This window comes from Homo sapiens, chromosome 10 (genome assembly GCF_000001405.40).
Source record: "Homo sapiens chromosome 10, GRCh38.p14 Primary Assembly".
NCBI lineage: Eukaryota > Metazoa > Chordata > Mammalia > Primates > Hominidae > Homo > Homo sapiens.
Window position 1 is genome coordinate 20,865,971 of NC_000010.11, and position 25,450 is coordinate 20,891,420.

General features: G+C 37.2%; 1 protein-coding gene and 1 long non-coding RNA gene across 20 annotated transcripts in view; one reads left to right on the top strand and one right to left on the bottom strand.

Annotated features, from left to right (window-relative positions):
• LOC102725112 (uncharacterized) overlaps positions 1-18,972 on the top strand; it is a 39,354-nt gene extending 20,382 nt beyond the window's left edge. The window contains exons 4-6 of one of the 3 annotated variants that reach the window (XR_007062082.1): positions 7,474-7,680; positions 13,601-13,724; positions 18,680-18,972. This is a non-coding gene — a long non-coding RNA (uncharacterized LOC102725112). Of the gene's footprint in view, positions 1-7,473; positions 7,681-13,600; positions 13,725-18,679 lie in introns of those variants that run through there. The other 2 variants (XR_930737.4, XR_007062083.1) reach the window with 2 other exon arrangements.
• The window catches only part of NEBL (nebulette), a 513,078-nt gene that overhangs the window by 85,998 nt on the left and 401,630 nt on the right, over positions 1-25,450 (bottom strand). For 6 of the 17 annotated variants that reach the window (XR_001746995.3, XR_242691.6, XM_047424443.1 and 3 more), the window contains 5 exons: positions 23,875-23,979; positions 22,127-22,237; positions 14,824-14,934; positions 3,770-3,871; positions 2,694-2,795 (listed from right to left, as the gene is read on the bottom strand). The exons of 10 other annotated variants lie outside the window; for them this stretch is intronic. Coding sequence is in view for 5 of the 7 variants with exons in the window: in XM_047424443.1 (XP_047280399.1) it covers positions 2,694-2,795; positions 3,770-3,871; positions 14,824-14,934; positions 22,127-22,237; positions 23,875-23,979 (531 nt within the window). In the remaining 2 variants the exon portion in view is untranslated. The remainder of the gene's footprint in view (positions 1-2,693; positions 2,796-3,769; positions 3,872-14,823; positions 14,935-22,126; positions 22,238-23,874; positions 23,980-25,450) is intronic. One more of the 17 variants, XM_005252342.6, reaches the window with a different exon arrangement.

Below are 25,450 nucleotides of genomic sequence, written 5' to 3' on the forward strand. Positions count from 1 at the left end.
TTTGTGAGCCAGACTTTCCTGCCCAGTGTCACCATGTTAACCTTCCCTAAGTGTTTTCTTCACAATCAATCTTTGCTCAAAATCTTCAGTGATGTCTTCTTTCTTCCCTGAGAGACTACAGTTAACATGGCAAAAAGTAGTTCTGATGTTTACTTTTTGGAATTGAACCCTAAAATGCTTCCTATAATTGCGCTCTGAAATCACTTTTTTATCATTATTTTTTCATAGAACACACCATTCTGGGAAGGGGGCGTTGGGGAGTTATTATTTAACGGGTATAGAGTTTCACTTTTACAGGATGAAAAGAGTCCTGGAGATGGATGGTGGTGAGGGTAGCACAACATTACAAACGCATTTAATGCCACTGAACCGCACACTTAAAAACGGTTCAGATGGTAAATTTTATGTTATATAAATCTTATCACGATAAAAAAATGGGGAAAAATTACATATATGAACACATTATTCCTATTATGTTCTCTAAGCAATGGCTTATACTCAAAATCAATACACATTGACCCATTCATCATCACACAATATCTAAACTCTTCTCAAAATCCTTTTTATACGTGCACAACTATATCCTCTTGCCCAGAGGCTCTGCCATCAGATTTCTGTCCCCTGGCAGGCATACTCCCAGCCTGTATTTGGGGCCTTCCCCTTGAGTAGAGTTTACTTCTCCCATTAAATCCAAATTAGCTAAAATCTACCTCCTACACATGAACCTTCTAAGGACGCGTCTTTCTTCTCCACACTAACAAGACACATTGTGATGGGTGTAAATGGGTGTAAAAGACATTTTGCTTTCACTTTGTTGGTATTTCCCTTTCTACTAATAAATTTGGGCATCTTTTCACCTGTTGATTGGCCATTTATGTTTGCTCTTCTGTGAATTATCTATTTCACTGACCCCTTTTTCTACTGAGCCGTTAATCTTTTTCATTCATGGTAAGAACAACATTGGACCCAAATCTTAAACTATATACAAAAATAAATTCCTTTTCAAGAATGTTTATATATTATAGATATTGTACACTATAGATCTTATATTTAAAATATTAAAATGTTCTCATCAAATGCATTAGAAGTACTTTTCCAAGTATTTGAAGACTTCTCTTTTTTTATATTTTAAAAAACTATTCTCAGACACATCCTTCTCTGTATAAACTCTGAATTATTTAATTTATTCAAGTTTTTCATTTCATTTAAATTTTTTAAACCCTCTTTTTGGATTGCAATTGGAATTGCATAGAGCTTTTAACATTAACTTTGAAAGAGTTAACATTTTTTAGGATGTTTAGTATCAAGGCTCTTTCACCAACAGAATAGTACGTCTTTTCATTTGTTCGGGACTTATTTTATGCTCTTCAATCAGACTTCATACCTTTCATCATTTACATCTCTCCACTTTGAAATGTAATTCAAGTAAGACTTCTGCAACTTGAGAAATGAGTATTTTCAAAGTCAAAAAAACTATAAATGTGTAAAACTTACTGTTTGTTAACATTATTGTTGACTCTGCAAACATTACCTTTTTCATTCAGAGAGTTTTTCATTTTTACATAGTTAATGTGCCTACCTATTATAGCTTCTGGATTTCTGGTCTTGCTTAAGAACAACTCTGTTATCCTTATGTAGTATATAGAGTCTCCTGGATTTTCTTTGAAGATTTTAAAATTATTTTATTGTTTGCATTCACATTTTTAATCCACCTGGAATTCATTTTTGTATATGGTTTAAGATTTGGGTCCAATTTTGCTCTTCCCATGACAGACGGTGTGTTATGTCAGCACCATTTATTAGCTAATCCAACTTCTTCCCACTGACTTGAATCGACACTTTTATCATATATTAAATTCTTATACATACTGGAATCTATTTCAGGACTCCCTATTCTATCCTACTGATTATTTAATCTCTCACTACACCAATCCCATATTGATTTAATTTCAGTGGTTTTCTATTAACTTATAGTAACTCATAACTTAAGTTCCCCTTCACTGGTCTTCATTTTCATACTTTTAAAGGCTATTCCCTGGTATTTTCTTTCCACACAAACTTTAAGATCATTTTATCTATATTAAAAAAAAAAAAAAACGCTGTTGGAGTCTAACAGAAGTTGCATGACGTTTATATAATTCTGAAAGAACTGACATCTTTATCTATTGAAACTTTCAGCCAAAAACATAAAATGCCTTTATACTTTTTCAGATCTTATTTTATGCTCTTTGATAAGACTTCAAAGTTTTCTTCATTTTCATCTCCCTTTTTAAATTTTGTGATTAAACAAAAGCACTTGAAAATTGGGAAAATTAATATTTTTATTACTAAGTTAAAAACTGTGTGTGTGTGTGTGTGTGTGTGTGTGTGTAGGTTAAAACACAATTATTTAGTATGACTATTAATGACTTCTGGAAATCCAGGGAAATGTGACAACATGGCTAGAGACATTGAAAAATGTTCAGATTTATGCCTGGAGAAAAGAAAACTTTGTTTTATGCTTAAAATTAGACTTAATTTTTTTCCTTTACTGAAATTCATAATGATTGCAAGCCCATCTGAACTGGGTTCAGAAACATTATCTCTGTTTATTCTTGCAATTAAAGATATTATCTAAAATGCAATATTCTCCTGTGCTGTTAGAAACAAAATATCTGAATAAAGTCATTGTGGAATCATCACTAAAGCCTTACTTGACTAGAAAGTTTAGAAGCTTCCACGGCATGTTCAAAATCTGGTCTTCCAATTACAGCGGGCTCTTTATTCATTATTCCTTGTCCTTTCTTGTATTCTGCCTAAAATGAATAAATAAGACAATGTTAAATATTTCTACCCTCCAATGATGAACTACATTGACATTAGCCAAAAAAAAAAAAAATAACAGACCTTCATCTCATTAATATTCCTTACAACACATCAAACACTAAAATGTTGACTGCTAAAGCAGAAATTGATTTTATCCTGTGCTTACATGAACAAACTCAACTTTTTGCAGTAAAATAATTACTAACTTTGAGGCTAAGTGTTCAGTCATCATCATGTTTGTAATTATATATAAATACTAAAACAAAATATTAGGGAAATTTTCTGGGGAATTGAGACCCTGTACTCTCCATATAGGTAGCTTTTATAGTTTCGTTTATTCTCAGGAACTGTTCTGGCCATACTTGATTGACATGCAGTTGAATACAGTAATGATTGATTTTAGGGTGAATTTAGCCTATGTTATGAAAATTTTTGGTTCAAGTTAAATCATCATTTCCAACCAGGGTTTTCAGCATGTTGAAGTAAAATGGTATTAACTAAAGCGGGCACCTTAGAGAAGGTAAGAAACAGTTACGCCATGTAGGAAGTGGACAAAGGTAAGTGTTGGTGGAAGAGAATGTACACAATGAACAGCAGCAATATGGAAACAAGGCCAAGCAAGAGCCTTTGGAGCAAGGTGAGGGGAGAGATTATATGGGACCATATGACTGATAACCCTGACTTTCAGGCTGAGACATCTGAATGTCAATTTATACCTAAATAGTATTTATTTCTCTAAAAGTATGATGACACTAACCACAGCCAATTTGAGTTTGGGCTGTTTCTGCATATACCCAAATAATTAACATAATAAAATAGATAATTTAGGGGGGGAAATTGAGATGTATTCATTTATATTGATTAGTTACACTAATTAAATGAACCATCCAACCACTGAAGCTATGCTTTGCCTCCTACAAAAGTAAGAAATCATTTCCGTTCAAGGTTTAGAAAGAGAAGTTACATTGCTTATGATCTTAGAGATCTGGGTTGCCATCTTGATGTCTGGTCGGTCAAGTTCTGCACTGTACGTGTGGGTGTCCTGCACGTCTTTCCTATAAGAAATCTGATCAGAGACAGTTTTGGTTAAAAAATAAATAAATTAGTAATTTCACATAGCTACTAGTCTTAGTGTTCATAACATTATTTATTCTCATAATAATAGCTTAGAGAGCCTACTGACCTTAAGTTGGCTTTTTGTGCATCTATTTGTATAGCTATATTAACTCTTTATACTATACCTATGTCTCACTGATATTAACATATTTGGGCCAGGCACAGTGGCTCACGTCTGTAATCCCAGAACTTTGGGAGGCCTAGGTGGGCGGATCACTTGAGGTCAGGAGTTCGAGACCAGCCTGGCCAACATGGTGAAACCCCATCTCTACTAAAAATACAAAAATTATCTGGGCATGGTGTGTGCGCCTGTAATCCCAGCTACTCGGGAGGCTGAGGAAGGAAAATCGCTCAAACCCGAGAGGCAGAGGTTGCAGTGCACCAAGATAGCACCACTGCATTCCAAACTGGGCAAAAGAGTGGGACTTTATCTCAAAAAAAAAAAAAAAAAAAACTTGAACTGAATTTATGCTACCTAAGAAATAAGACTAAGATCAAAGCACAAAACCAATCTTAAAGGGTCTTTGTATCTACCACTTTATGAGTATGTCTTTGTATCTAAGTGCATATATTTATATTCATAAGCAGAATATCCTCATCAAGAACTTCAACTTGCCCATCACAAAGTCTCAAGCCCCAGTGGGTGCAAGATAAGCCCAAGCACAAGAATATTGCAAATTATTTCCTTGGGGATGGTGGGTGGTGAAGCTCTGTAGTTCTCCAGCATTTGCCCTTTCAACTACACACTTCTCTCCCTTCAAATGTTCAAAGGCCCATGCCTAGGAGATCTAAGGTACTGAGAGCTTTATCACCCAATAAATATCATTGGAATGACTTGAGCCTCCCAAAATAAAAACAATTACATTGAGTAACATTCTCCTTCTGAATGCATGTTAGACACAAACCAAAGTATGGTAAGTAGAGATTTAAAGAGAAAAATACATAAACTTTGCCAAATGTACTTTAGATCACATTCGTCATTTAGATTAACTTGACTGACAATTGGAAAGAGAGACAAAAATTGAACTGGCATAATGTCCGATGGCCCATGTTTCACTGGTCAGCTCACTTCTTTATTTCTTGCGATTTGTCTTGAGCTGAAGCAATATTTGCCAGATGTGGTTCTATTTGGCAATATCCCCAGGGACCAGCTGGCAATTAAAATATATTCTATTAAAGTCATAATGCAAAGTGTACAGTCATGGACATTCTTAAAACCCATCTTCCTTTTTTCAGAGCACAGAAAGATCACAGAAATGTGTCACTGGACATCTGTACAAAATGCACACTTAATTACATTGTGTACAAATATTTCTAATGTCACCTGCAACCTTTCTGAAATAGCATCATTTAGGGGTACTTATTAAAGATTTAGATTCCTGAGGTCCAGCCACAATCCTCTGTAACAGAATTTTGACAGATGGTGCCCAAAAATCTAATTTTAATGAATTCCCTAGCTGACTGCTATAAACCAGTGTTCTGGGTAATATTCATATATCTTGTTAGTTTCCTTTCAATCTAGCAGAATTAAAAATTTCACCCTTTCTTACTCCTTTTAAAAATAAGATCAAGTGTAAGAAGTGACAATGCATTAATACATCAACAGGCTCCCTGTGCGTTATGTTATTTTATTTCAATGAAACATTTATATACACTTCTACTTACTCTTTTATGAGCTTACATTTGCTTCACCACCAAGACTATTTTTTAAACTACACTTATAATCATGAATCTGTCTGACAAGTGAACACAGCTGAAACACAATTAGTATAATTTCAGAAAGAACATCTGTTTTCTTCCACATTTATATTTTCAGAGGTTTTATGTTAACAAGTCATTTCAGGTAGGTTTTATGCACACAGGTAGTAAAAGGAACATAAAAATAAGGCCGAAACTGAGTTATTTTGTTGGGTGGATTTTAAATCTTTAGGGATTTTTTTTTAAGCAGGCCAATTCCATTGGCTTCAAAAAGCAACATGCTTATCCACAAATGATGGTAAATCAATCTCATCCTACCCTGAGTTAAATACAAGCTGTGTAAACAAAAACTGGCTCTCAGGTGAAAACAAACCCAAATTATCACCCACCTACAAGACTAACTGTTTCTAAGTTACTACATTCATATGAAAACCGCAGGGGGGAAATGTCTTTTTGTTTAGAAAAGAATGAGGGTAAAAATGGAAACCCTTACTTTTTGAAAAGAACCACAACCTTTCAGAAATCTAAGCTTTACATGGGTTACCTAATTATATGGTGTTCAGCCTAATGACTGCGTGAAGAGAGGTGAACGGCACAAAGGCAGCAGGAGCAGGACTTTGAATAGGGCCCCATCATCCATGTAAATTGCAAAGTAGAAGCCGGCATATGTGACTCAAAACAAATATTAAGATTGACATGAACTGCAAATTCAAACAAGAGGACACCACGGAGCCACACAGAAAAAAGCTTCCGCGCCTGATCACTTGTCAGATCTTCCAGAATATCACTCCTTGGGAATATTCCATAGGAAAGGGGGCTTATGTTGGGGGACATTCAAGAGGGTGACACTCTTGATGTCACTATCTCCAAGGGTGTCTGAATATATATGGAATGGCAACATGGCTTCTCACACAGATTCCTACACGTAACCCATTGCTAGTGTCAGAGGCATCTGAACCACAGCAACTCCATCTTGAGAAGGGAATGGGTAAAATGAGGCTGAAACCTACTGGGCTGCATTCCCAGATGGTTAAGCCATTTTAAGTCACAGAATGAGATAGGAGGTTGGCAAAAGATACATGTCATAAAGACCTTGCTGACAAAACAGCTTGCAGTAAAGAAGCCAGCTAAAACCCACCAAAACCAAGATGGCGACGAGAGTGACCTCTGGTCATCCTCAGTGCTACACTCCCACCAGCATCAAGACAGTTTACAAGTGCCCATGGCAACATCAGGCCGGTACCCTACATGGTCTAAAAAGGGGAGGCATGAATAATCCACCCCTTGTTTAGCATATCATCAAGAAATAACCATAAAAGTGGGCAACCAGCAGCCTTCGGGGCTGCTCTGTCTACGGAGTAGCCATTCTTTTATTCTTTTACTTCTCTAGTGAACTTGCTTTCACTTTATGGACTCACCCTGAATTCTTTCTTGTGTGAGATCCAAGAACGTCTTTTGGGGTCTGAATCAGGACCCGTTTCCTGTAACACTAGGTTTAAGGGAAGCTCATCTGACATTTCTCAATAAGTATTTGCTCCAATCTACCATCCATCAGAGCTCAGGAAGAATAAAAAATGTAACACAGCAGAAGAGAGGCTTGGAGTTCAAAGTGTGTGTATACATATTTTTTTCTATTCCTTAATAAATTCAAACCCTAAATGCTAACCATATTGGAACAGTGGACTGGCCTTCACTCTTCAGTCTTCTCATGACAATGTGGTGCTCTATAAATCTTGTTTTGCATAAGGACAGGGAAAAGAAGAAATCATCAACTCAGCAGAGATGTGAACTTGAGGGCCAATAATTGCTTTTACATTATTTTCCTTAATGTCTTGTTCCCTACTCTGTCCTCAGATCATAGCAGAGAACAAACAAGGAGGAGGAAGAACAGGAGGAGGAGGGGGAAAAGAGGAGGAAGAAGAAAGAAAGATTAAAGAAGAAGAAAGAAGGAAGGAGGAGGGGAGAAAAAGAAAATAATAATAATGATAGTCTCAATTTTAGACTATTATGTACCATATTAAGGACTTAACATTCACTCCCTCACTCATACATTTTTTCAAGGTATGACGGTATGAAATTTTTCAAACAATCATAACATCTGCTAAATTTTCATTTCCTTACTACTCATCTATTTCATTTATTTTCTTATTTTTATTAGAATAATTTTAGTCAATTCCACAAAACAAATAACTGTAATTTTAATGAGCATTGCACTGAATCTATAAAATGCCTTAAAGAAAAATGATATCATAACAAAATGTCAGTCTTTTCCTATGAGAAGGTGGTATATTCCTCCATTTCTTCGAATATTTTATTATAACTTTAAATGAAGTTTCATCATTTTGTTCTATATGTCTGTCACTGGGCAAAGAAATTATCATACTATCATTTTTATACATTTATCTTGTACTCAAGATGATCCACTTTTTCCTTTTAATAGTGAATAACAGTATAGAGTCTTATCTGAAAATAGTGATTCTGGTTTCTTCCATAGGAACACCTAGAATTATTACCTTATGTGCTTGATCTCTTCCTCTTAGCTTCTTTTCACTGAATTTATCTCTTTATTCTTTCTCATTTATCTAAGTCATTCTCCTATCTAATCCCTTTGTAGTGGGCATGTGTTAAATTTTTTTGTCAGCCTAGGTTTTTTAATTTGGAAACAGCTCCCCCATCACTCCATGTGATTGGTGGGCCTCTGAAGTTCAGCCTGCCTTCATGTTGACTTAGGCTGTCCTGCCAGATACCCCATCCATTTGGAAACCATGATTAATGAAATCGGACAGACACGTAACCCAACCAAGGCCAGAGTCATTTGAATGATCTGAGGCTGGAGGAGAAAGAGCTTCTCTTCTTTTCTCTGAGATCAGCTGCTGTAAGGATGATTAAAGTTTGGAAACACCAGCTGTCACCTTGAAGCCACAGAGAAAGCACCTGTCTGAAAGTGTCATACACAGCCCAGAGCCCAAAGATGGGAAGAGAGGAAGAGTACTGGTAACACTGTAAAGCCTCCAGCCCACTTATGCCTGAAGATAGCTTGGATTTGTCAATTACATACACAACAGAATCTCATTTTTCACTTGCACTAACTTGAGATAGATTTCCGTCACGAAATCTAGAGAGTTCTAACACAGCCTCCATTTCACTTTTCATTTTTTTTCTTTTTTGAAGATGAAGTCTTGCTATGTCACCCAGGCTGAAGTGCAGTGGCATGATCTCAGCTCACTGTAACCTCCACCTCCTGGGTTCAAGTAATACTCCTGTCTTAGCCTCCTGAGTAGCTGGGATTACAGGTGAACACCACCACACCCAGATAGTTTTTGTATTTTTAGTAGAGATGAGGTTTATCATGTTGGCCAGGTTGGTCTCAAACTCCTGACCTCAAGTGATCCTCTCACCTTGGCCTCCCAACGTGCTAGGATTACAGGCATGAGTCACTGCACCCAGCCTCACATTTTTCTACAGTGCCAAATCTGTTCTTTGTTGCTTCCAACGAATATTTGAATTCCATCAAAATCTGTCTCTGAATTTCTTTATCTCGCCATATTCACTTTCACCCTGAGCTCATATTTTTATCTTATTTTATTGTCTTTTAATCTCAGCTTGTTCTCTCCTTATAATCCTCCCACTTCTGTTTCATAAGAGCCATGTCTTTTGCATGTTCCCTATGCTCGTGCAGAGCATCCAAGGTGCCCGGCTATCCTTTTCTGCATCAATTCATTAAATCCTCACTTCATCCCTGATGTGTCTTGACTCAACTGGGCTACATCAACACTCCCTTTTAAGACTGGAACTACATCCTCCAGAGTACCTTTCCTTAAATAGTTCTGGGTTAGACATGGCCAATAAGAGAAATGCATATGAGATTTTGAAAGTGGATGTGAAATAGACATCTTTATTCTGCAGGTATAGGCAGACACATGTGCAGCTGGAGGATTCACAGTGGCCTTCCAGCAAGCTTTTTATACTCAGGCAACAGTGATTTGAGACTCTCTGGTAGGTGAGTTAATAAACCAGAGAAAAGCAAAACCTCCACAGACTCTCCTTGAAGTGGAAGTCAAGGAGATGACTTTCACTTGGAGATGAGAAGATTGAGACAGCTCAGGAATGGCAGCCTTGCAGGAGTGATAGCCAGCCAGCCAGCCAGCCAGCCAGCCAGCCATGGGGTCTAAAGTCTGCATGGGCAGACAGACCTTAAAGAAAACAAATCCAGCTGACCCAGAACCCTGTGAAGGTTAAACTGATTCTTGGTGAGAAGAAACTAGACAGGATATATAACCTTTTAAGTTTGTGGAACAGAGGCAAATCATGTAACTGGTATATAGTGGTAATCTTTAAGCAATGGTTCAACCCATCTCAGGAAAACCTTTGTCTTTAGCAAAACTCTCACATTAGAGAAGCCCTCCAGGTATCATCAAATAGGCATGTGGACTGCTAATTCCATCTCAAATGATGCTTATCTTTGTCTAGGCATGCTGTGCATAAAAACCTACTAAATTATTAAATTGTAAATATTATTTTTCTGTAAGAGAATATAAGCCTTTTAAATATAAGTAAAAGTAGGTTCTGATACTATTCAGAAGAGAGAAAAAGTTTTCAGTCTTCCAAAAGAAGGAGTAAAATACAGAGTTATGGCCAGAATGGCTTATCATTTAGGATTGCTGTCACTGTTTATAAATCTATAGTTGATAAAAGTTGTCTTATTTTCTTATTCATGATTTAATTTTATCACCACCATATTGTGTAGAAGGCAGAATAAGTATTACTAACTATTCTGTCTTAGAGATGAATAAAACACTAATATATCTAATTTTAATGCTAAATCCTAAAGCACTATTATTGTAAGTCTCATCGGGGAACCACAGAGAGCCATAATTGTTTTTCTAGTATCATTTTACTGATTTATCTTTAAGCTTTCTCACTTTCTGATGGAATAGAAATTGTTTACTGATAAGTTTTTATTAATTTTAAGAAAGTACATATATCATTCTTGAAAAGAACAGTAAGTCTTTCATTTCCCACGCTGAATACTTCTTTCTAATACACATTGAATCGACTACCAATATGGTGTTTTGGAAAAGCTTACCACTCCAATTTCATCACAAGTCTGTATAGACCACATTACTTACAAAACTTAAAATAGAGTTTAAAATTTGTTTGACTTATTTCAGAACTATTGGACTTCATGTCTCTCATAAGACTGATGAGAACTAATAATGGAACTAGGGCTTTCATTATAAGCCCATCTTTAGGGGAAAGTCACTGGATAGAATATCTCCAATTTCTCTAATTACATTAGAAAAAACTGGCAGGGGTATGTCCCTTAAGGTACAAAAAGATTTCGATTGGCTGTTTTTAATCATTTTCTGATTATAGTATTAATAAGATAGGTTCAGGAAACTTTTGGATATGCCCTTCCGACCTAAACATTTCTTAACATAAATTTCACATTGATTTGGCCTTTTATAAATTGAACTTCCTTTACTTGTTTCAAATTAACTATGACATCACCCTAAACTCCCAAATCACCCTTTAAAAGTAGAAGGAGGACGAAATAGAACCAGTAATGTATGCCAGCAACTTTTAAGATGGAGGCTCTGCTGTGAAGCTCTTTACACATAATGTTTCATTTAATACTTGTGAGAATCTTCAGAGGTAGATATCGTTGTCCCCATTTTACAGATGAGAAAATGGAGATTTAGAGACATTAAGTAACTCATCCAGGGTCATCCACGCAACGTGTGCCCAAGAAACATTTTAACCAATGTCTGACTCCAAATTCCTTTCCTAGTATATGCTACTGATATAGGAGTTAAGAATAAAGTATTTAGGCAGATAGTGAGGGTAAGGAAGTCCTTCGTAAGACTTTCCTTTTAATAAAAAGCAGCCCCGAAGTCTTTTTCTTTTCTAACAAAGAGCAGCCTGTAAAATCGAGCTGCAGACATACACAAGTGAGCTGTAAGCTTGCACGTGTGAATGTTGACAGTTGTGACAATAGGAAAAGGCTGCCTGGGAGTAGACATGTTCAAAATGGCAGCTCCATCTTCCCTTTTCCTTTCCAACCATGTGTGCAGTAGGGAGCAGACAACATGGAAACCGCCAGGCAAAGACCCCATTTGCATAATATAATTAGGGCGGAGCAAACAGCTTCCTTGCAGTCTATGTAGAAAGTCACGCCTGGTCCAACCAATCTGTGGGCCCTATGTAAATCAGAAACCGACTCCTCAAGCCTGTCTATAAAATCCGATGCACTCTGCCACGAGGCACAAGTCCCATTTGGGTGCACCTCTTTCTCACAACAAAGAGAGCTGTTCTCCTTTCTCTTTCTTTTGCCTAGTAAACCTCCACTCCTAAATTCATTCCTTGTGTGTGTCCGTGTCCTTAATTTTCTTGACATGAGACGATGAACCTCAGGTACTACCCCAGACAATGATGCCACTTCACTACAGTAGAGGATATTCTAAGAAATACTTATTTTTACTGTTTGGAGATCATTTAATTTTGGGGTGGCGCAAAAGACTACTGCCTCCAGAAAACTCTTGCCCGGGAACTCCATTACTCAGAGGTGGAAATTCATCCATACAGTCACATGAGCCCTCTCCCTCATTCTTTTCTGCTTACTCACATTACTAAAGGCACAAGAGAGAGACATCTTGGTTCACTAAAAGATATTAGAAATCTGACTTGATTTTGGTGGAAACATAAAAAAGTTAGGCAAAGATGTTGACTTCCATTGTTTTCAGGTGAATCAGATACACATATAATGACACACTTTTATTTTAAATTAAATGAAGTCATTTATAGCCATAGTGCAAAGTGACAGTCTGCATTATGAAAGGGTAATTCCACTAGTAAATTCTCTGCAATGAGTTTCATTTGGCTGAACTTTTACAGGAGACAGGTTTATGGGAGATTGTCTTTTATAGAGATTCCATAGATCCACCCACTGAACCAAGAGATGTACTTTCAAGACCTATGTTTAAATTTCATATTGTAGGGACAACAAATGTATTATTCTAAGTGGCTTGACTCCAGAGGAATATCAACTACTTCACAGGTAGAATACAAATATCATTCTCACTTTAAATCTGAGTAAATAGTCTTAAACACTTTCTAAATCCTATTATATGTACAAACTTTGCATGCAAAGGTTGAGTCAAGTCGGCAGAGGAGTATAAGTAAACACAGCCTTCTCCCATAAGTACACAGTATTGAATGAAGGAGAAAAGGGCTTTATACTCTATTCCCTCAATCCCTCAATCAAAGACCTTTTAGAAGAAAAGGCAGAGTTAAAATAATAAGCCCAGTTCTATGATAAGGAACTTCCGTATTTGAATTTCATTGAATTATAGAGTTGGAAAGAGCCTCCCGGGGATCCGTGTAACACCAGACCTCACCCCAGATCACCAGACCACCTTCTAACCCGTGGCCTTTTGTGTGAATTTCGTCTCTTCAGTGTCAAAATACTGGAAACTCGGGATTTCTCTGTCATTCTTTCCTGCAGTGCGTTTGAAATCTGAAGATAACCTATTTTGCTCCCCATTTTTAAAAACTGCATTTAAAACCTTGACTAATTGACAGTAACCTTTAAGGTGGAGACAGCAAAGTGGAACAGAAAGAGCAGACTCAGGAGTTTGATTTCTTAGTCTCATTTTCCTCATCTACAAAATAAGAATCAGTACAGGGTTTTCATGAGAATCGGAAATGATCAAAGTCCTGGCATAGTTCCTGGTGCATGGCTGTGCTCAGTAAGTGGTAGTTATTATGATTATTACAGTCATCCTTAAGCAAACAGTTCTTATAAAGCACCCCCCTAAAATAATTACAGACATGTAGCCTCTTCATCTCCTAGCAATCTTAAACTATGTTAGAAAAGTGCTCTGCTTTTGGCATATGTTTGTATATTTGGGTTAAAACGTAAAACCTCATTCCACTTTTTTACTTAAACATTTGCTTACTGCAATTTAATATCAAATAACAGTTGCCGTTCTGCGGAAAACACTCTGCACAGTGGGACTATGGGGGCACATGGTCAGCCAAGCACCATTCCATAAAGGGACTAAGTGACAGAACAGACTGGATGTGAGATGGCAACTGTACTTCAGGTACTTTTCCAAGAAAGGGAGTTTCTTGACCCAAAAAAGATAGGCATTTTATCTTAACTGATTTTAATGCATAAAGAACCTGACCAACAGTTCACACATTCCTCCTGGAGAGAAGTCAGGATGAGGAGATTTTAAAAAAAAGCTTTCCCTACAATTCCAGGAAGAAATTACTCTTCTAGGCCACCAGGATGGTGGTGGTAATCGAGCAAATGCATGCAAACCTTGATGCAACTGCTAACTTTTACCAAAAAAGAAACTGATTTTCTACTGACTGACTTCCTCCGTTTTGGCTTTAAAGTCAGCCATTAGGCATCTATTGCTGTCATATTCCCCATGGGTCTTAGGTTGGACCATCTGTTCTTACAAACATCCTAAAAGAAACAATAGGCCAGGCACGGTGGCTCGTGCCTGTAATCCCAGCACTTTGGGAGGTTGAGGCAGGTGGATCACAAAGTCAGGAGCTCAAGACCAGCCTGGCCTAGATGGTGAAAACCCGTCTCTACTAAAAATACAAAAATTAGGCCGGTGTGGTGGTGGGCACCTGTAATCCCAGCTACTCGGGAGGCTGAGGCAGAGAACTACTTGAACCCGGCAGGCAGAGGTTGCAGTGAGCCAAGATTGAGCCACTGCACTCCAGCCTGGGTGACAGAGCGAGGCTCTGTGTCAAAAAGAAAAGAAAAGAAAACAGTAGTGGGTACAATATAGCTGGTGTTCATGAATGATCCTTCTGTGGGCCATTGATTCCTGATGGCCTTTCTTCCAGTTCTTCTGTGATTCTAGACTTAGAAGCCATGAGCTTCAGCATCAAGTCAAGGAAGCTCTGGAAATGCTTGATAACCCAATAGGTCTGAAGGATCTACATTTGTCTTGTACAAAGCAAAATTCCAATGCCTGAAAGTGCCTGACAACATAAAGGCATTCGGCAAGGTGTTAATGACTGTGGATAGAATAATTCAGATGTACCTCTGACTGATAAGAAATATTAAAGTCTTTTTTGAACAGGGCTGTTGTAATGTTTAAATTTCAGCAAAATAAACATAAGCCCTAATATGACTTAACTACAGTTCGCTAGAAAATCATGAGAAATGCGCTTCCTTACATTACTCTGGTGTTTATTGACCTCCATGGCATGTTTAACCTCAGGGGGCTCCTTCATGTGGGCATAATCTGAGAATCCTTTGGCAGCATCATGTTTCTGCTTGTAGGCCACCTGAAAAACACAAATAATTTTTAGTCCCATTTAGAGGCATATAAATTCTTGCCTGCTAATTTCAGTGTTTTGCCAGGACTTTATATATTTGAATACCACCACTGATAGTTAATTTGCCTAAATCTCTGTAACAAGACAATATCCACAATGCATTCATCTTTATGCTTCTGTTTAGATTCCTAATTCTACCTCTTTGTTGTTTACTTCAAAATGTCCTTGACCAAAGATGAAATTTCCATTTTTATTCATCTAGCTTAAACCTCGGGTGTAGTTTTGGGAAATCATCCATATCCAAGAGCTTTCTGGGATATAGATGTCAGAGATTTAAATCTTGGAAAAACAACTAAGTAGAGGGGAATTATAGGATATTTGAAAGTAAATTGTTTTCAAATGATTGGGTCTGATTTTATGTAGGCACAGCTATAAGATAATATAAGCCTCATTAAGTGCACAAACCTTTGGGAGAAAATATAGCATGCAGGCAAAATTCTCAGATATGTCAAGTCTTGGCCTCCATTAGGGAAATGGACCAGTGCCATCCATTACCACCATGTTGAATTTCCTCCATACTAGGATGGAGAGGGGATATGAGAAAGATATCTCAGAAGTAGATGTAACCAAACTCAACCACAAAGTTGGAAATTAAAGAAGAACCTAAAGACAGCAACCAAGTTATCCCCTTGGTCTCCACTGATACTATTAACCTATTTATTTCCTTCATAATGTTTAATTACTTTGTTTAGTTTATGTATAATTACTTATCTATCTTCCCTTACTAAACACAACTGTCGTGTTCACTGAATCCTCAGAACCCAGAATAGTGCCTGGCACAAAACATTTGTTCAGTGAATGAATAAATAAATAAGTGAATGAATAACTAAAAGAATGAGAATAAAACAATAACAAATGAAGGACAGAAAGGCAATATTAATTTTAAAATATACTAAAAGCTTAATACTAAAAGGATGTTAAATGGAGTTGGAATTACTTGACATGAGAAAAATGGCAACTTAAGAAAGACAAAGTAGGCTGGACTCAGTGGCTCATGCCTGTAATTAGGGAAGTCAAGGAGAGAGACTTGCTCACGACAAAGTGAGGCTCCCATCTCTACTAAATATCGAAAATTAACCAGGTGTGGCAGCACATGGCTGTTGTCCCAGCTACATGGGAGGCTGAGGCAGGAGGATTGCCTGATCCCAGGAGGTCGAGGCTGCAGTGAGCCACGGCATTCTATCCTGGGTGATAGAGCAAGATCCTGCAAAAGAAAGAAAGAAGGAAAGACAGAAAGAAGGAAAGAAAGAAGGAAGTAAAGAAGGAAAGAAAAAAGGAAGGAAGGAAGGAAAAGGAAAAGAGAGGAGGAAAGGAAGGAAAGGAAAGAAGCAAAGAAAGGAGACAAGGAAAGGAGAAAAGAAAGAAGAGGGGAGAGGAGAGAGGAAAAGGAAAAGGGGAAGGGAAAGGGAAAGTAAAAGAAAAAGAAAAAGAAAAACTAGAACAGGCTTTACCAAGAACAAAACAAGATCTAGTTTTCAATGAAAATAATATATAAAATTAAATTTAAGGAGAAAGTTTTTACCAATATGAGCTCCTTGGGCGCATGTCTGTCTCACACCTTTTTATCCTGTGCCTAACATAGTGAATGACAGAGTAGAAATGCAATAAATGTTTAGTGAACAGATGAATAAATGAGTTTACTAAACATTCTTGTGAGCTTAAACTCTTCATTGGCTTTTATAAACAGTATTAACCACCCATTCCACTTGGATAATATACCTATCTAAAGGATTAATGTGATAAGTCGGATTTTTACAACTAAAGTCATTGAATCTTGTCATCCAAAAAAAAAAAAATGTCATCTGGTATAACTAACAATGTTTAATGCCCTCTCTGGACTGCCATCTAGTTTTTCAAAAACTTCCACTGAAAGAGAACTCAACCTTGGCCACCACAGCCTCTAAATTTTGAAAGTTCAGATTAAAATTTCTTTCTTTACTGAAACCCCAATCTATCTCCCCCTAGCTGCGTCTATGTGGCCTTATGAAAAGAGCCTATTTCATGAGACAGAACTTCCAATGTGGGAAGACACCCGTCACTGACTTCTGTTCCTCCAGACTCGCAGTATGGATTAAAGTGCTGCACTCCTGAACACCTTACATGCTCTCTTCAGCCCAAATCCGAATTTATCAATCTCTTTCTTAAGGTGCTCACAATGGTTGGACCATTCTTAATTAGAACTGTTAGATTTAATCCAGGTTATCACCTCCCACATGTTAAACATTATTAACACATCCACGGACCACAACATTTTTCTTTTGATGGCTATGCTGAGACTTCTGTCAACTGATACCTTTAAGTCTTATTCAGTCCTGCCCAGCCATGTTCCTACCTCCAATCCTGTGGATTTGGTTGGTTACCAAATCAGAAGCAGCACCTCACATTGTTCCAAGGATAATTCATCTTGTTAGAGTCTGTCCACCAACATACTCCATCAAGATATCTCCCTCTGGTGACTGTATCTTTACAATTTTCACCAATTAATTATGTTAAGCAGGAAACCCTTTAAGAACCTCCATTCAGGTGGAGAAAGTCCATTATCTCAGTTCTATTACATTCCGTGTTTTAACTCAGAGGTAGGGAGAGGAGGAGTTTCATGGGTACCCAAGTCTACAAAGCTAAGGAAAAACTTCTATGAGATTTGCTCCTTCTTCTTAAATGAAAAGAACTAGTATATGCCTATTTCCTTTTTCATGGTTGCCTGGTTTATTTTGTACTTTAGACCTACTAACATATACTTGTGACTTTATAAATGTAACCAATGCAGCTGATCATTTTGTGGGTTATCACAGAAATGATGAGTCAGCAAGCACAATTTTAAAAGGCACTCTTTCTTAAAAAGGCTATGTAATTTTCTACTTGCAGCATTAACATCGTCATTTCATTTACAGCCGCTACTAAGTACCACTTTAGAATTAAGATTACATCAAATTAGAGGGAGCTGAACTTTAATTTATCATATTCATTTTCTTCCTTAAAATAGCTAATGGAAAATTATGTCAAGCTAATAAATTTGCCGATAAATTTGATTTCTTAGGATTTGTCATTATTGTATGGTATTTCCCTAGATTAATGCTGTTTTCTTCATACTTTGAGAACTGAGATTGCCATGTTACTAGGAACCTGGAGACAGGAGTCCACTTGCAATAGTCATATACACTTTGTTTATATAAGTGATAAATACATTTATTCTATATTTTTGATCTTACAGCATATTTTATATTTCATATGTATACAGATAAAATGTACATTTATGTTTCACTTATAGATTTTTTTGGCATTTACTTATTTATTCATTTATTTTAGAGATGGAGTCTCACTATGTTGCCCAGGCTGGTCTTCAACTCCCGGGCTCAAGAGATCTGCCCACCTCGGCCTTCCAAAGTTCTGGGATTACAGGCACGAGCCACAGCATCTGGCCAAATGTGGCATTGAAATTGGGGGTTTCACAGATGCCCTGAAGCTTCTCCCTGCCCTCGCTTTCAGAAAATTCATAGATCTCTAAATTAAAGTTTACTGGCCAAGGAGGTCAAGTATGCAAATTAAAATAATGGCTTTGCCTCTGAAAAGTATGATTTATCTGGCACCTTAATTCTACTTGATGGTTATTTATAGTGTCTAACAACATAGCATAAGATGCTACAAAGACGATCAGAATAATAACATAACTTACATTATATTTTATATGACACAGGTAAATGTGCTGTTAACCCCATAGCATAGACACCTCTGGACTTCTGAAACAGAATCCTGTGACCACCGTGGATGAAACATAGACTCTCATTAAGCTGCAGTTCCAATGCCTGAGTAGCGTGAATTGCTTCTATGATAAGGCATTATTTAGCCTTTGCCTGAAACAGCCCTAATGAGAAGGATCTCGCCACCTCATGGCATGGTCCAGTTCATTTTCAGAAGCTTTCTTTGTAATCTGTGCTTATAAAATTGTTAACAGGGGATAGCTAATAAAATGGCCTCCTAAAAACTCTACATCTCTCTCTCTTTTTCTGGCATTTCTTCCTTTCAGGCATTTTCTGTAAGTGTTCATCTAGCTAACTTTATCATTCTAGTTTGAATTTAAGCATCTGAGAGTGTTTGCAAATTGACTTTAAGATAAGTTTGTTTTAATAATTTGTCAAAAGTTAAAGAGACTTTTCATTAGAACCCAGAATGTCATTAAATTTCTGAATTCATCCAATACTCCGAGTTAGGACATCACAAATCTGATACTATTTGGACACTGTAAATGTTAGTCCTTTAATTATCATAGATACTGTCAAATAGTTCTTCTACTTTCTTGCCCCGCTTATTAGGTAAACTCTAAGAATCACAATTTTAACAATAATAAAATCGATGTACGTAAATCTAAAGAAATGTTATGACAGTTACATAAATCTTTGAAGTAGCCGCCTTATTCAAAGTCTAGGTTTTTCTTTATTAATAAGTTCAGTGACTAATTACAACAATGGAAATCAATGCTAATTGTGAGTACATATGCACCTTTCCCAGTGGTGTCTATTTCAGTATAGGATAACATGCTAACAATGTCAGTGGGAACCTATTCTGACAAAACAAATGATAGATTCCAAAATATACAACCTGGATTATTTTTCATGTTAAGTTCTATGTTGCAGGGATTTGTGTATTACAGCCCTATTTATGCTATAAGAAGTTGAGAGCTGTTGTGTGCTTTCAAAGAAATGAGGATGGAAACATCGGAAAAGTTACCTTCCCAAGGAAGTATAAAAGCAATAATAGATTGTTTTCCTTTTCTTTCGTTATTGCTTAATTGTTGCTTGTCACATATCAAGTGTTGGGTTGTAATTATCTGCTTTTTAAAGTGACCCACATTATCAGCAAGTGCTTAGGTGGCCAGATATTGGCAGGAAAAATAAAGGGCATATTAGTCACAGTCACCCATGCAGAACGTTGACATCATATATTTTAAGCTGCATGTTGCATAACCGAGATTAGTTTACTGCCAAGTCAGGTACACAGTGGACATTTAAATGTGTAATAGTGAAACACTTAAAGGTGTTCTGCAAAGAATAACTATGCTCAGCATTTTTCAAGAGTAATGTATTTTCAGACTACTTAAAAATAGCTAATGCATGCTGGGCTTAATACCTAGGGGACGGGTTCATATTAAATAGGTGCAGCAAATCACCATGGCACACGTTTACCTATGTAACAAATCTGCGCATCCTGCACATGTACCCCAGAACTTAAAAAAAATTTTTTTTAATAAGATTATCTAGGTATCTCTACTTAAAAAGATTCTGGGGAAAGGTAGGGCGCAATGGCTCACACCTGTAATCCCTGCACTTTGGGAGTCTGAGGTGGGCAGATCGCCTGAGGTCAGGAGTTCAAGACCAGCCTGGCCAACATGGCGAGACCCCGTCTCTACTAAAAAAAAAAATACAAAAATTAGCTGGGTGTGGTGGTGTGCGCCTGTAATGCCAGCTACTCAGGAGGCTGAGGCATGAGAATAACTTGAACCCGGGAGGCAGAGGTTGCAGTGAGCTGAGATCAAGCCACTGCATTCCAGCCTGGGTGACCAAGCAAGACTCCATCTTAAAAAAAGAAATTCTGGGGAAAGAAGTAAACTGCTTGCTTAACAAGAAAAAGAGGGTTAGAAATGGTAGGAAAAATATAGCATAGTGTGTGGTTAAAAACCTAGACTCTGGGGCCAGACTGCCCATATTCATGTGCCGGCGCTGCCATTTACTGGCTGTGCCACCTTGGCCAACTGACTTAACCTCTCAGTGCTTCGGTCTCCACAACTCTAATCTGGGGACAGCTCATTGGGTTGTTTTGAGGACTGACTGGGATAAATACACGTGAAATGCATAGAACAACTTCTGTGTGTTTACTATTATTAACCTAAAATGTGAAATGAAGAATACAAACTATGTAAAAGGAAGCATATCCTTAGAAAGAAAATTTTAAAATTCCACAAAATCCATTTTACAAGTTTTTACTGAGCACTCTCTATGTGCCAGGAACTCTTCCGAGCACAAGACCAGAGCAAGGAACGAGACAGATGAGGTCCCTGCTCTCACGTAGCTGAGAGAGCTAAAGAATAGATTAACAAAATAACCTCCCCAAATTTGATTGTTCTGTGAAGAAAACACAACATTAAGATGAACCAGAAAGAGGTGAAACATTCCATTTAGAAAGTCTGTTTTAGGAAATGCAATAGATTAAGAATGCCTTATGTGTTGATATGCTACAAAGAGAAAATTACTCCTAAACCCTTCTGGATTCAAAATGAGTTTACCTGATGACAATTCTTAAGTTCCTCTGCAACTGGCAATCACCAAATAGTAACTTCCACCTGATGGGGGCTATTTTTGGTAGCCTGAGATATCCTAAAGGAAAAACACAATCTACAGAAAAGGAAATTCAGGAAACACTTGTCTAATTGATGAAGCAGATCTGTGGATCCTGAATTCAACCTTTTTTTTTTTTTTTTTTTTTTTTTGAGACAGAGGCTCACTCTGTTGCTCTAGTTGGAGTGCAGTGGCATGATCTTGGTTCGCTGCAGCCTCAACTTCCCAGGCTCAAGCAATCCTCCCACCTCAGCCTCCTGAGTAGCTGGCACCACAGGTGCATGCCAACAAACGGCTAATTTTTGTATTTTTGGTAGAGACCAGCTTTTGCCATGTTGCCCAGGCTTGTCTTCAACTCCTGAGCTCAAGCATTCTGCCCACCTTGGCCTCCTGAAGTACTGGGATTACAGGCCTGAGCCAGAGTGTCCAGCCCCATTATCTCTTTATGTGGCTTTTAACAAGCTATTCAAATATTCTCTACTTAGGGATCATATATCAAATTAGAGAACAGTTTAATATTTACTATAAGAATTTCATCCATGTAAGCTGTCTAAATGAGATTAAGATTTGCTCTATAAATTGCATTGAATGGGACTCAGAAAACAGTACCATGTGACTGACATAAACCTGCGTGTCCTTTTCATTTTCTGCAATTTCAACAGCAACTACTGACAGCACATTAATCAGTTGCTTTCAACTTTCATTTGGTATTTAACACCCATGATGAAAACGTTTTATTAAAACGCTAAGTAGCTTTTTTCCAGTTATATGTTTTATCTACAAAATCATGAAACACTTTAGAAAAACCCTACCTCACTCTGGAGCTGTGTAACTTCTCCTGCAAAAACACTGTCAATTGTGGCTGGCATCCGCTTATAAAGAGAATTAGAAAGGTCAGCTTTAATGGTGCCTTTGTATTTTGCCTGGGGGAAAAAAAAACAGGAAAAAAATAAATAAATAAACTTCCATTTTTTTAAACTGTGATTATAAGTAGAAAAGAAGAAACTTTCTCCCAAAACAGAATTGATTTTAAAATCTGCAGACCATTTTAATTTTAGATACCAGAGCTGACAAACTCCAGGATTCTGAAGAGATAGAAATAAATCCAATTTATCATAGAGAACGCTTTCAATGAGACATGCAAGGACATAATGGCTTTCTATTTAAATGCAAGCACATTTCTAAAAGTAAATCTATTTGTGTATATTGACAGTTTCATGCTGGATGAGTGAGCAAACAATTCGAGTTGTTCCAGAAAATGCAAGTCGTTAGAATCTACTATCTAGAACTTGACAAAGGACAGTGTTCTTTTATTCAGGTCTTCTCAGCCTCCTCCTGCTCCAGGGGGAGAGGGGAGTGAGTGCTTTTTTGTTGTTTATGTGCCTACCCACCTCTAGCCTGCACTGTCTTTAAGCCATCTCAGTCACTACTCTAAAGACAAACACTCTTTCCTCTTGGGAAAACTAAGGTTCAAGGGAACACAATAGATTGCTCACTTCCAATATTTTGCTCTGCAATTAACTCCTTCAGGAAACATAATCAATAATTGAGAACATCAAGTATTTATCTGCACGGGAGAATGGAACATAGCTAAGACAAACAAACTATGTTCTTCCATTATCTGCAGATGAGTTCCTGATGTTCTTCCTGCTCAGAGCTAGATTTCAGTATTGATTTATTGAGCACAGATCCTGTGCTAGCCTTCTGCTACCACACTCTTTGGATTTTGGTACTTAATGAAAGAAAACGTACTGATTTCATTCAAAATTGTTTCGCATTAGCAGAAATAATCCCAAGGACATCCAGTTGATCTTTTTCCAACATAATTTATGAAACACTAGAGGTCAGTCATTTACAACACTATTTCATTTCCGTTTCTTTTCAAACGTATCTCTTCTAAGTGATCTATTCACAGACTACAGTAATGCCTCACCACAGAAATCATCATCGTTAACATTGTGCTTTACAATGCAACATAAACTGTAGTTCTAAATGCTCTCAGAAAGAAACTACATAATTTTTCAGCTGGAAAATGAATATAGCGTATTCCTCAGTCTGTGATTTTATAATAGGTATCACTGTTGAACTGAACTTTATCCTACTCCAAAATAGTTTAAATACATTTAAAATTATTTATCAAAGATATCACATTTTAGAAAACTGGTAAATCTTATTTATTTCCAAAATGATATTCAATCATTTATCTCTGATATATCTATTAGGAAACAAAATAATGGAACTTCTAAAGTGAACTATTGTGCCAGTGCTTTTACTTATTTAATAAAAAGATGCCTTTTCAAGAGGAATCGTATATAAATAAGAAAGATTTAGAGTCAAAATATAGACATATATAATAAAATGTATGAAGCATACATAGTAAAATCTGTCAATCTATATGAGTTAAATGACAGCGCATCACATTAGATAATTATGTAGCTATTACTAACATTCAGTAGTGCTTTTGAAAATATTATTCTTCATCTCTTTAATGCACAGACTTTCATCTATATAATAAGAAAAAGATAAATGCAAGCCAGTTTGCAAGCTTTTGATACCTTACCTCAGAAATAAAAGCACCGATATTTTTTACATGGTTTAGCATAGGACTGTCAGTCACAAATGTACACTTATCCTTGGACTTTTTAAACTCTTCTTTATAACGGATCTAAAAAAGAGAATGATTTACATAAGAAGAGAAAAAGAAAAACAATTCTAATGGCCTTTTTTGAATGATAATTAGGTTGATAAAGTCCATTTACTGAAGTAAATACTCAAGTGTGAAAGGGACCTCAAAACAAGCCAAGTTAAATAAACGGCTATCCAGCACAGGATTGCAAAGATGATGAGGCATAGTGAGGAAAGACCATTCTTTAGATAAGCGAGGGTCCAGTTAAGCATCAACACCAGGCGTGCTGGCTACGGGTGATGGGTCCTGTTTACCCAGCCAGCCCAGTGCAATTAGCAAGCATGTGCCATCTCGCTCCTACAAGTGTCCTGGTGTTTTGTTGCTTTTAAGCCTTGACACATAAGCCTTTGGCCAAACAGAAACACAGCTGCCTACCTCAAGGTAGAAAATAAGTAGTCAGCATGACAGATGTGACCAATTAAGAAGTAGAGGCGAAATTAAATGGGGATCACTATTACCGTTATTACCTAGACATGCTTGATTAGAGGAAGAGGCTTAAATTGTGGCCAACGTGGGCTTCCTGTTACTAATTCCTCCCAATTTATGAGCACCCATAGGCTTCCCAATCCTCCTCCTGAGCGCAGAGAAGAACTGAACCTGCCCAGAAAGCTTGCTATGTGGTGGAGATCATTCCAGAAGGCCTTCTTGCTGGAGATCAGCAAGACAAAGCCCAGTGAGGCTTAGCTAAACCTGCTCATCTCTTCTCTGCAACTCACAAGTCAAATGACTCACTCTCTTCCCCTTTGGGGATAGGCCAGAATTGTTATGCCGGGGGAAGACCCGGGTGGATATTTGAGCCCAAAAGAAGTCAGGAAATGTGGAGAAGGACCTAAAGTATAATCACACTGTCACACTAATTGCTGCACAATCTGGAAACTGGGAAGGCAAAACTATGACTCATTGAGAAGATGCAGGTAATTTGCTAAAAGTTGTATCACTCTGTAATATGCTCGTGTTTATCCTCCCAAGACCATAAATACTTAAACTGAAAAAGTGTTCCTGTTTCAGATGATAAATTATATGTTCTCCCTAATTATAACCCAAAAGTGGAGCTGAATTGTATATACTACCTGGTTCTTAGAGGATGTGAATAATATTGATGTTATACACTAATGGTACATGGAGATTTTCCCATATGCAAGCCTGATTTGACGGGCATTACTTAACCTGTGGTAGAACTAGATACAGATTAAGTGAAGTTATTTCAAAATCCCATATTTCACTGCTGTGACTCTTGGATATCAGATGCCTACCACATTAAACATTTGCTTTATTCATGAAATCAACACGAGAACATATTTATCTTATCTGAGCACTAAATTACTTTTTTTTCTTCTCAGAGATTAGCCATAATTTTAGGTTCCTGCAAATCACCCTCCTCAGCCACTAGTAATTAAACTGTTAATGGCAGTATGATAAATAGTAGGCTATTTTGATCATATGGAGAAAA